General features: G+C 39.9%; 1 protein-coding gene across 4 annotated transcripts in view; it reads left to right on the forward strand.

Annotated features, from left to right (window-relative positions):
- Positions 1 to 6606, forward strand: part of OR10J1 (olfactory receptor family 10 subfamily J member 1) — a 43503-nt gene extending 36897 nt beyond the window's left edge. For 3 of the 4 annotated variants that reach the window (NM_001363557.2, NM_001363558.2, XM_047417793.1), the window contains one exon: positions 5415 to 6606. In NM_001363557.2, coding sequence (NP_001350486.1) covers positions 5431 to 6360 — 930 coding nt within the window. In that variant the 5' untranslated portion in view covers positions 5415 to 5430 and the 3' untranslated portion in view covers positions 6361 to 6606. Of the gene's footprint in view, positions 1 to 5360 lie in introns of those variants that run through there. The other variant, NM_012351.3, reaches the window with a different exon arrangement.
- Positions 6607 to 13097: the final 6491 nt, after the last annotated feature.

The raw sequence follows: 13097 nt of genomic DNA on the forward strand, positions 1-13097 counted from the left end.
ATCCTATTCATGATATCTTGGACTTTGGAATCAGTCTGGAAGTTTAGGAATAGTGTATTATAATACACTCCTTTTCATAAAATACTTTGGTGCATCCCTTTTTCACTCAGCACAACCCCAAAGAGGAAAATAGGAAAGGAAGTCTAAAGTGGGCCAACAACTACTGAAGAACAGTTATTGTTTACCCTGAACCCCAACTCTAAGAACCAATGACCTTGAGTAGGAGATGCTAAAACAGTATGATATTGTAGATAGAGTACAGGCTTTGAACAGAGAGGCATGCATTCCCAATCATAGATCTGCCATTACAAGCATGTGTCCTGTTATGATACTTAACCTCCCTGGTTTTTGTTTCCTATCTGCATGGTGAGTCGGACAATATCAACTCCCAGGGTTGCTGTGAGAAGTCAACAATGTTATGGACATACCATTCCCTGGCACATGGAAAGCTCTCAGTGCCTTCTCCACCACCACCCTACACAGACATTGCTCCCTGGGTCACTCTGAGGTCAACATCAAGTCACTCTTGATATGGACACAGAGCCCTAGCTTTAACAATAGGATTCTCATTTGTTCTTTGTCAATAGAATTCCCTTTTACCTAGGAGGTCTTGACTTTGTAACTGGGCTTCTCTTATAGTCCCTGATCCTATGTTCCAGTAAAAGGAAACTAACTATTCTCCGAGGGTCTTCCAAGTATTACTTCCTGGATATACCCAGGACATTATTTCAGGCTCTGCTTATGTGGAACTAGACCTAAGCAAAGTGGTGTCTATGTCTATGGGGCAATCACTCAGATTTCACTCCGAGTGTTCTTTTTGTGGTTAATAAACCACTAAGAGCACCTGTCTGCATTTCTCCTCCAGATTCCCTTTATTTATGCCCTCCTTACTGACCTGCCAAATACATCTCACAACATCATTCTCTCTTCTCTCCTAGTTGCCTCAGAGTCACTGCAAGAAGTCTCAGGGTTCCTGTGTGCATCAATTCTCACATGCAGTCTGAATAAATACTGACAAAAGCATCTACAAGTATTTTTTAAAGTACCATAATTCATTTGAAAGCACCAATTACTAATTCATAGTTCTCCTTTTCAGAACTTATTTTTCCTATCAATAGGTACAAATAGTACAACTATTATTATCCAAATATTATCAATTTGGAGATTCAAGAAATATTTGAATGTAAAAAGGGGTTTTCATACACAGACAGTTTGGACACGCCAGCTCTAGGTGACAGAAATAGTGTGGAAGATGGTGTGAGAGTAGATCTAACTTTAGGAACCTCAGTTAAATCTGTTTTGAGCCCTATCCGGGGCCCTGAAAGACTCCCATTGACAATTCCAAAGCCTTCTTAAGAGGTCTAGACCCAGGATCCTAAACTAAATTGAATGCCATAAACAAACTATAATAAGAACTACTGAAATCTGTTCCCCAAATAAAGCAGTCTGCAGAACTAGAAGATTTTGCATTAGGTTCTTTTGGCTGTTTTGCCAGCTTTGTTTCTATAGTCACTCCACATGTGTTCATTTTCTTCTAGCATAAAATCCCAATATATTTGCTATTGGTGGCAGATTGGACTTTCTGTACATCCCTAATCTGTAAAATTAGATACTGCTACTGACTTCGGAGGGTTATTTGGAGGCCTATGTGAGACAAAAATCTGTGAAAGTGTTTGATAAATATTAATTGCTACTGAAGTGGTATACCTGTCCTTTTTGCCAGATACCACATTTTTATATCATCAACCCAGTTCTCCATTTCTACAGTCTTCCTAATTTGTCCCAAAGCAATAGTATCATAAAGTCTTGAGCTCTTTAGCCCAATTCCACTCCTTTCCTGTTGAGATCTCGTAGCCACCAATGATATCTGATCATGAACCATTAATATGGAGATCATTTTCTTTGCTTCATCTGTTACAAGAAGAAGCTATGTATATTTGTAAATAATCAGAGAGTTGGCATGAATGAACCTGATGAGAGCAGTTTATGAAATTATTGGTTCTTTCCTCTCCTTTGAGCCACACATTGATTCAGTTACAAGCCCTATTGATTTCCCTCAAATGTCTCTCACATGTATCCCTCCCCTCTGGGCCAATTGCCACCCCTCTAGATCAGTCCCAATTATCTCTGTTACATCAGCAGCCTAGCTGGTTTTTCTTCCTCTTTTTGCCAACTTCAAATCCATCTTCACACCACTCACAGGTCAATGTACCAAATCCCAGTGCAGGGTATGGTGTTTTCTTTTTTTCAACAAGGAAGGAAAATCACCAGAAAGACCGGAAAAGGGAAAAAAATGGTTAGCGGTTTTAAAAAAAAAAAAAAGTATCACTTCCTTAAGACGCCACTTGCTAAGGAACTTTAGAGTCTAAGAACAGGAGAGATAAGCGAGAATCACTTGAGAGGCTCTTAAAAGTGATACATTCAAATACTCTTTTGTAATCTGTTCTCACTTTACCTATACAATGTAATTTTTCATAATCAACCTGAGTCTAATCAAGGACTGTCTCCTCCCTGTCTCACTTACAGTTACATTTCAGTTATTATGATTGTCTATCACCTGCAACTAAACCCTGAGCTCCTGGAGGGTTGGTGCAGCACCTCATCCATTTCTGTATTTCCAGCAACTAGCACAGGGCCTGACATATGCTAAGTGCTTAAAGAATGAATGGATGCAGATAAATAAATATCACATGAAAGACTAAGAAATTTTTAAAGAAGTAGTAAACAACTCATGGAAAGTATTCAGTGAGAAGTAAGTTTAGAGTTGGGTCTTGACAGACAGTTAGAAGCTTACCAAATAAAGGGAAGAAAAATCCGGGTAAAGAGAACAGTGTTCAAAAGCTAATTTGTTTCCTAGCCTCCAGGAGAGAATCTTTGGATCTAAAGATGGTGTGCTTCCAATCCTGAATGCCACAGGGCAAGGACAGGCAGCATGAACTGCCCTCTGCAGAATGACGACCATATTTAAATACTTCTTTTCCAAAAAGAAAACCAGATTCTTATACTAGATAGAGTTCCTGCCTATAAGCAAAAGGCCCTAAACTTCCTGAAATCCAAGGTGGTATGGCTCTAAGCTTGAGCTGCCTAGATTTTTCAATATGGATTTCTAAGATACATCTGTAAAAAAATAAAAAATAAAAAATAAACCACATGCACATATACACACTCACAATGTACTTATTCAAACAATTAAAAATCAACTAAATAAACCAGCTTCCTCAAATGTTATTTCAACTTGAAGCAAAAACTTTCCCCAGGCTCCCCAAGCGCTAGCCTGGAATTGAGTAAATGAGCCCTATACATAATGAGACCTCCAGGTACCTGATACCTGCATCCTCCCAGCCCCAGGGGGGTGGCTGTCAGAATGTCTTCAGGGAGTGACCCCCAGAAGCCCAGCTGCCTGATCCTGGGAGAGCATCTCCTCTGGCTTCAAAGACTTTTCCACACAGAGGGGTTATCAAGAATGCCTATGACTCTCAAACCTGACTATATTCCTACTAGTGTGTGTTTATGCCCTGCCTGCTCAGCCTCAGGTCCTGCCGTAGGCACTCTTGGTCACCTTGCTCACCTTGGTCACCCTATGCCTATCCATTGTGGCCAAGGGAGCCTGACATTTCAATCTTTACTCCTCGGCCTCCTCCAGCCCAGCTTTCCCGTTGTGCCTCAGTGCTAAGCAGAGTCATGTGAGTGGTCTTTAGAAGAAGGACTGAAATGGGGCTCATTACATATGAGCTGACTTTAATTTATTGTAGTATTTCAGGTCCTATCACAGCTGGACAGGTCTTCATAAGCTATATTTGCTCTTCCTTCCATTTCCTTTGAAGAATTATAGACTTCCAAGAGTGGGGAGGATGCTAACCAAATCATAATAGCCATTCTTCTACCTCAAGACAGACAAGTTTCAGCCAGATAAGATGATATTTTAGCCGTGTGTTTCTCAATGGGAACTTTATTGGTATTTGGAAGAAGGGAATTCTTCCTTGGGCAGAATCACCACAAGTTTTGCAGGACATTTCACATCGTGAATGGCCAAGAGCTTCTGTGCTCATTATTGTAACAGTTAAAAGCTCTGCCAAGCATTTCTGATTTCACCATAGAGGCACCATACCACTCCGTGGCTGGACTACTACATAGTTTTTGCTCAGAAGCCTCACAGAAGACAAATGTCTTTAGACATATATTTTAGTATCAAATGATTTTCTTTATTGGAAAATATTCTCTATTGCAGCTTTACTTTCTTTTTAGCATTCTTAGTGTAAATGATTAACAGCTGGTCATCAACTTCTTTTAAATAGATTTTTATGAACTTGAAGAAAGTCTCCGTGCGTACTAACCTTCATCATTGATGTGATTTACTTTATGCAAAACTTCTCTTTCTGAATATGCATAAGCAAATCAGAATATAATTTAAATACCCTAGAGAAGCTTACTGTTTAAAGAGATAAAAATGTGAAATATTACATAAATTGAACTGATCCCCTTCCTTCAACAAAATGATGTATCTTTGGTGTAGCTGTTTTTTTATATTCAGGGTTTGCTTTTGCTTTAGGTGAGGGACACTTAAATTTGCTGTATCTTTCCTGATACAATTGTTTATCTCTGCAGAGTGGGTGTAGGCTTACTCACAAAGTTGTATTGGCTATAAATTTGCCTTCTAGTTTAGGGAAGGTAAAGATGTAGCATAGTTTATAACATACGTGAATCAGTGCTCTGAACTGTCAGCAGACTTCCATCACTCAGACAGAAGTGGGGAGAGGCTGGTGGTTGGCTAAGATTTTCCTTTTTCTTCTTGAAGACAAGATGAACCTTTCTACTTTGCTTCTAATTCTTAAAGGATGCGCAAGGAGGATGATTCATAGTCTTGAAAGAAAAGACATCACTAGTCCATCCCTAAACAAATTATTTTCAAGCACCCAATCCATGCATAATTTGGAGCTAGTGAAATATGAAAAGATGTAAAAGGTATTATAAAGTTGCTAAGTGTTTGTATGAGGTGAGGCAGCAATAATGGGGTAAAAATAATCCAAATAAACATGAGAACCTCTGAGTGTAATACGGTTTTATGAAGGCCTGAAAATGTGCACTCATCTCTGAAGAGTAGGAAAGAAATAAGAGGAGAAAAGAGAAGCCATTCCAGATGTCAGGGAGGAAGAGTAGATATGAAGTAGGAGCATGTATGGTTATACAGTGAAAAAGTGAGACTATATGATTCTATGATGCATGGAAAATTATAACAGATGGTCACAGAGTAAAAATATTTTAAGTAAAGATAAGTAAACCCAGGGATTAACTTAATCCACTAGGAAATACATCACCAGATTTGTAACTGAGAACTATTGAACTTCAATCAATTTCAGAAATGTGCTTCTACTGCTTTACTGGGACTATGTGACTTTTATGCTTTTATGTTTCAGATTTGGGAACCAATCCATGAAAAGAGAGAACTTTACTCTCATCACTGACTTTGTTTTCCAAGGTTTCTCTAGCTTCCATGAGCAGCAGATCACCCTTTTTGGCGTGTTCCTTGCACTATACATCTTAACCTTAGCAGGCAATATCATCATTGTGACCATCATCCGAATGGATCTTCATCTTCACACACCCATGTACTTCTTCCTGAGCATGCTGTCCACTTCAGAGACTGTATATACATTGGTCATTCTCCCAAGAATGCTCTCCAGCCTCGTAGGTATGAGCCAGCCCATATCATTGGCAGGGTGTGCCACACAGATGTTCTTTTTTGTAACCTTTGGCATCACTAACTGCTTCCTGCTCACAGCAATGGGATATGACCGCTATGTGGCCATCTGCAACCCCCTGAGATACATGGTTATTATGAACAAGAGGCTGCGTATCCAACTTGTCCTGGGGGCCTGCAGCATTGGGCTGATTGTAGCAATAACGCAAGTGACATCTGTATTCAGGTTACCCTTCTGTGCTAGAAAGGTGCCCCACTTCTTCTGTGACATCCGCCCTGTGATGAAGCTCTCCTGCATTGACACCACTGTCAATGAAATCCTGACTTTGATTATCAGTGTGCTGGTGCTTGTTGTACCTATGGGTCTGGTTTTCATTTCTTATGTTCTCATTATCTCTACAATCCTCAAGATTGCTTCAGTTGAGGGCCGGAAGAAGGCTTTTGCCACCTGTGCATCCCACCTCACTGTGGTCATTGTCCACTACAGCTGTGCCTCCATTGCCTACCTCAAGCCCAAGTCAGAGAACACCAGAGAACATGACCAGCTGATCTCGGTGACCTACACTGTCATCACTCCCCTACTGAACCCTGTGGTATACACCCTGAGAAATAAAGAGGTCAAAGATGCTCTGTGCAGGGCTGTTGGTGGGAAGTTTTCCTGACCATGTAGGAAGAGTTCTCCTGAGGCTGTCAACATCCACACTAGGCAGGAATATGAGGTGTAAACTCACAAACACTTGGCTCCTAGAGACCTGCCCCTTAAATAAGAGGCAAAAGAGGAATAGCAGTTTCATACAACTGGGAGTCTGAAGCTTTAAATAAAGTTACTGGATGGAGTGTTATCCCTATTTTTGGGGATAAATAGACAAACAAGGATAAGATATGCCTAAATAAAAGGCCAGAAAGTAGTATGGGCTGAGAATTTTTTACTGACCTTTTGGTTTCTTTGTGAATCTCCACCTAATGAAGGCAATAGAAAGCCCCTTGAGAAAATAGAATCCAAGACACACTTAAAATCTTTTTCCTATAATCCCTTTCTTCCTATACTAGAGCACCAGGGCTTCTGAAACTGGATTCCCTATTGGAGTATGTTTATGACATGTCAAGTAATAAGTTACTGTGTGGGGAGGGAAAGTGGCCTCAGGATTAGATAGCCCAGGAGAAATAGATGTTCTCTCCTGGATGTGTTAATTTATCCCAGATTCTAGCAAAACTGCTTATTAAAGATGGTGAGCATACACAGTTTAATTAGAGATGCTGGCAATTCTACAGTCATCATGACAGTGTTTTGAGGGCATAATCTGAGATACTCCTGGATCCTTTCAAATTTGGCTAAATCAGAAAACACATAATGGGCAAGAGCTATGAACTAGCCTCTGTGCTAGGTCCTGGAGAAATAAAGATTAAAAAAGCTTTCTTGTCTGGCTTCAGGAAGCTACAAGCCTAGTGGTAAAAACAAGCATTTGACAGTATGGTTTCAGTTCTTTATGGTAAGTGGTGTTTACACACAATTAAAGAAGAACTCAGAAAAAGAAAGAAAAGGAAAGGGGAAGAGAGAGAGACTGTTGGAGATGTTAGGGAAGTCTTAAGAGGAGGGGACCTGTGATGCAAACTGTTTTTAAAACACAAGAGATTGTCTGAATGATAAGAAAGAATTCCAAAGAGAAGAAACAATGTAGCTACAGGTATGAAAGCAAAAGGACTGATCAGGTAACGAAAAATGATTCAGTTGTGCTGACTCCAGGACATGGAAGAGGTGGGGATTGAAGGAGATAAAACCAGAAGGGTAGGTTGGGGTCATATTCTGAAGGCCTCATATGCCAAATTAAGGAATTTCAGCTTTAACTTTTTTTTAAAAAAAACAGAGTCTTGCTCTGTTGCCCAGGCCGGAGTGCAGTGGCACAATCTCAGCTCTCTGCAACCTCCGCCTCCTGGGTTCAAGTGATTCTCCTGTCTCAGCCTCCTGAGTAGCTGGGATTACAGGCATGCGTCACCACATCCGGCTAATTTTTGTATTTTTAGTAGAGACAGGGTTTCTCCATGTTGCCCAGGCTGATCTCAAACTCCTGACCTCAGGTGATCCACCAACCTTGGCCTCCCAAAGTGCTGGGATTACAGGCGTGAACCACTGCACCCGGACAGTTTTTACTTTTAAATATGGGAACTACCCAGGACTTAGGAGAACTAGGATTCAGTTTGTGAAGCATCTATATGAATTCTTAACATCTTTATCATACTTAGCTCCCCTGAGATATCTAAAAAGCCATATAGGGGGAGGGAGACTTTGGACTGCAAGCCAAAAAGCTCATGAGTAAAAAGAAAATGTGACTAAGGTATTGGGGAGAATACACAGAAATAATTATGTACTTAAGATGAAGCTGAATCAGACTGTCATAGAGAACATGGAGTGGAGGCTGTCCCAGGACTGTCATGTAGATTTGGGGTTTGAGATACAGATGAGCACCAAGGGAAGAATAAGGATTTGCTGTCAAATCAGTGACTAGGCTGGGCCTCAGACCTGGTGGCAGTATGGTCTCAGGGCACACTTTCTACTAGGCTGAAAGTGTGGACTCTTTAATCAGAAAAGCCTTTGAACGAACAAACAAACAAAACAGCCGAGATCCAAAGGACACATGTATCTGCATTCCAGACCATAATAGAACTACTAGGGCATTTTTCAGGATTAACAAGGTCAATGGCAAAAATAAAACCATATCTAAAGTTCTCTAAGAACATCATAAGGTGGCTAAAAGTAACTAAGACAAGTTGTTAACTGACAAGAAAAAAAACTGAAAAAAGCAAAACATTGCTGGTAAAGATTTTGACAGGCATTCAGTAAACATTCATGAAATGTTTACCAGTTATTCAATAAACATTCATAAAGTATTTACTATGTGCCAGATACTATGCTAGACATAAAAAAATCTTGAAATAAGCCCTGTACTATCCCTTAAATAGTTTCCAGTCTTGAAAGGGAGATGGGTTTATGCAGAACTCACCGTAATTCAATGTGATGGAGAAATGAACAAAGTATGCTTAATATTTAATGACAAAAATGTAAGCCTCGGGATATTTTTTCCTGATCTATATAAAGCTAAATCTCATCAAGCTAAGAATGGACTTTGCACGTTGAAGTTCAGTGAAATAAATGCCTGTTACCTGGACAGTAAGGTTGCCTTGATCTGTGTGTAGTGCTATCTCCTGGGGCCAAAGGCTATGTAGCTCCTGCTGGGCATCACTCAGAACATTTCATCACCATGGAATTTTAGAACATTTATCACTCAGGTTTTTCAGAAATCTTGTTTGAACAGAATAGCTTAACAGTCAGACATTATGGAATCAAATGTTTTCAACAATCCCTTTTTTTGGAATTATTTTAGTCATCATTCATGCTCTGTATCACTGCTTTCACACTGTAGCCCCTTGCCACAAGACAATTTCCCAACCATTATCTCACTAGGTCCTCAGAACAATCTCAAGGGAGACAAGGATAAGGCTCTCATTATACAGATAATAAGATTGAGATAGAAAAAGGAGTGAAGGCAGAACTTGAACTTGCACCAGTTGGCTGGCATTTTCTGTTTTCCTAGAATAAATCCTCACCCAAGGGCGACTCACAATGGAGATAGTGATGTACTAGAGAAATCAAACTAGGCAAAATTTACATTCTCCGGGGCCTCAAACATTCCAAATAAATCAAAACCTCATCCCCAAGGCTTTTCCAAGAGAGGTCCTATATAAAAGGGCCACCTGGTACCCTTACTCTAGCCAGTGGGGACTCATGAGGAAGAGCATCTCCAGCACAGCACAAGCTGTAAAGTCTTATTCATGCAGAACCAGCTGAGAATTTAGGGAACATGAGTATCCATTTTCTCCAATATTAAAACAAATCATAGAAAAGCATTTAGAGCTCCACAAGCAAACCTAACCCTTACTTAAACAGATTCAAGAATTCAGTAGACACTGTGTTGCGTTAGATCTGGAGCCAGATGCTGGGAATAAGTGGTCAATTATGCCAAGTGTCTGGCCTGTGGACAGACAGACTGATATATATATATATAAATAATATATATTAACGTAGCATATATATTAACATAACATATATATATATATATATATATATATATTTGGTAGACTAATGAATGTTAAACTAGAGCACAGAAGGAAGAAAGCTTTAGTTCCAATTGATGTTTTTAAATTATAAATAAAGAATAATAAACACAGGTTCTTGGCCAGTCAACCAGCTCACCTCTCTTCAAGCACACACTAAACACCATTAGCAATAAAGGGACAGATCATGCAATAGAGGGATTTGAGATCTTTATGGTGGTGCAGGACTCTTTTATGTAAGGAAACTTCCAGCAACTCAAACTTTAAACTCTTATTTCTGTGGATGCCATCGAAGACTTCAGAAAGCATGAGTACCTCACTCACTCACTGCCTAGTAGAACTGAGGCTAGGATATGTTAAATGCCTTTGCAATATTTCTGTTGGACACACACTCCCTCCTCCCCAGCAATCTACAGACATATATCTCTGAGACATCTGTAAGCCCAAAGGAAAGCCTATGCACTTGTACTGGGTGGGGGTAGGGAGACACAATATAAACCTGAAGGCCACTGAACTGAGATAGAAGTTAATGATTCACCCACAAAGACCTCTTGAAATTGAGAGTCACAACATTTAAGCAACTCAACCAGGAATAGAGAGTTAATGAATGAGGGAGCTAAGGCTTGAATTCAGTCTGCTGACTTCAAGCCTTCCCATTCCTTATGCTGTAGCTGTGAGAAGTGACTGGTAAAAATGGGCTCTTAACCAAAGTCCACCATGGGATCCCAGTATTCACTAAAAGAAAACTTTCACCATGGGATCCCAGTATTCACTAAAAGAAAACTTTCAGTGGGAATAGAACAATGAGAACACATGGACACAGGAAGGGGAACATCACACTCTGGGGACTGTTGTAGGGTGGGGGGAGGGGGGAGGGATAGCATTGGGAGATATACCTAATGCTAGATGACGAGTTGGTGGGTGCAGTGCACCAGCATGGCACATGTATACATATGTAACTAACCTGCACATTGTGCACATGTACCCTAAAACTTAAAGTATAATAATAATAAATAAAACATTAAAAAAAAAAAGAAAAAAGAGAAAACTTTCATACTTTAAACAAAGTAGATTAGATTAAGAAAATAGGAAGATCTATTCAATAGGGTTGGGAAAACAGAGAAAGAGTATGCAGGAAGAGTATGCATTTTTCTTTGGCGATAGAGTTTTCTTATCAAAGACTAGAAGTGGATGTTGCAGTTTCTAGATGTCACTCTTGAGGCTTTCAAGGATCCTCAAAATAGCTTCAGAATAGGCTGTGCTCCCACCAGAGTCTGGACTTTCTTCCTGTCTTCTCATTGGCCATCTATAAGCCATCTTATTTTTTCCTCATTTGGCTTCTGGACCCCTAGCCTCAATAGCTCCTTCACTCTTGCCCTGGAAATGAGCTTACTCTAGCTTCTTATGGCCTGTGGACCCTTAATGTAATACGTTAGCAGCACCAGCATATAGTTTATAAAGCATTTTCATTTGACCCTCACCACATGTCTGTGGTATTGTAGAGATAATATCATCGGCACTTTATCTGTTAGGAAACTAAGGCTCAGAGGAGAGATGGGTAACTCTAATAGGTAGTCAAAGTCATATAGCTGGTGATTGTCAGAATTACTTAAACCCAGGTAGTTGCTCCAATCCTTCTTATTGCACTATTCTTCTTTGCTTAAGAGAAGTTCCTTTCATTTACTGTGTAGCAACTGAGGTTTAGCTCCAGCATTCCTCCATCCTGATAACCGAACACATCTGTATTTAAACATTTTCTGCCTTCGTTGGAAATGACAGCAAAGCATGCCCTCAGGCATGCTGTGTTGTTGCATTATTGTGGCTCAGAGGAGAGTTTTCTAGCTGGTTCCATATCGCCTCAACTTGCCTAAATATAAGGGCTTACTTTTTTACCCCCCACTGTACCCCCAATTTCTCTCTAATGTTCCCTTCTTCTCTTGTACTATTTCTACCTCTTCTTCTTCTTCTATTCTAGAGGCTTTTATCTTTTTTCTTTGCTCTTTCATGAGGGACTATCCACAAAGGTATTTTGGGTGGGAGAATTGCTAAGCCACTTCTCGATGATCAATAAACTTCCAGCTGATTGCTGTCAACAAACCTCACTAAACTGCAACAAGATGGACATCGCATCTTGGTTCTAAACTCTCAGAAAGTTTCCTGCATTGTTCAGACAAGACTGTTAAGTGTTTCACTGCTAATTTCACTCCTGTGTGGTTCCTTCCTTTGAATTTGACCAGCCCAAAGCTATATCTAGTTTAAGAAATTAAAAAATCTGCTCTCCAAGTGTGCATGCAAATATTTCTATTGTATACCTTTTGGAACTTAAAAGTCAAGAATTTTTCACTTTTGTTTCTCGAGCTTTTTAATTATCTCAATTTTTTCAAAGGAATTGAGGAACTGAGTGACCAGAGTTTAATTCTGTGGACTGGAGATAGGAGGTGGGGAGAGGAAAGGCCTTTAGGATGAAAGTAAAATATAAGATGAAATGGGGGAAGGAAGGAAAACAATGGAAATATTTTTCAAATTTATTTCTCTAGTCTTTCATTCGATTTGTTGATTTCTTGATTTAGAATGTTTATCCCACAGAACAATTTAGACTCTAGGCTTTCTGTTACTGGGCAATTTTAGCTAAGTTTCTTATTTCTAACCAAACTAGGAATGAATGGATGCTACTGTTAGTGTTCAATCTGTACAACGTCTTTTTAAGGTTTAATCAGAGCAAAAGGAGTTTAGAAGTTGTCATTCCATCCTTAGAATCAGAAAAAGCTGGACAAACTAAAAGCCAATAACTTTTTTGGACCCATTAGAGAACTGAGGTTGCAAATCAAGTTGCCACCTGGATATCTGAGGAGATATTACAGCTAAGACACAGCTGAGATCTGCCTCCTTTCAGGAGGCACTGGAGCCATAAACTAGAGTACTCGAATGGCAATTTTGATGAACTGCTGGGAGCTGAGTATGGACTAGCTCGACAGTGAGAAATTCCTAGGGGTCACAGTCTTATAGGAGCTCCCACACTTTCATGGATTTTGCATACAGGAACCTCACCAGATTCTCATGGTGAAGATTCAAAAAGGATCTCCTCTTGGCTCTGGCAGGGGGAAGGGAAAATTAATCATTGTGAAATACACTCACATCCTTCTCCATAACAAAGGCCTGTATTTCATAGAAAACTAACTTTGCTAGAGTCTTAGGTCAGGGGAAGGAATCCTTTCTATCCAGTCACCTTTACCCTTTCCATCTCAACTAAGAAGGAAAAATTGTCAACACGGGTCAGGACTTCAAATGA

Source organism: Homo sapiens, chromosome 1, assembly GCF_000001405.40.
Source record: "Homo sapiens chromosome 1, GRCh38.p14 Primary Assembly".
NCBI classification, from domain to species: domain Eukaryota; kingdom Metazoa; phylum Chordata; class Mammalia; order Primates; family Hominidae; genus Homo; species Homo sapiens.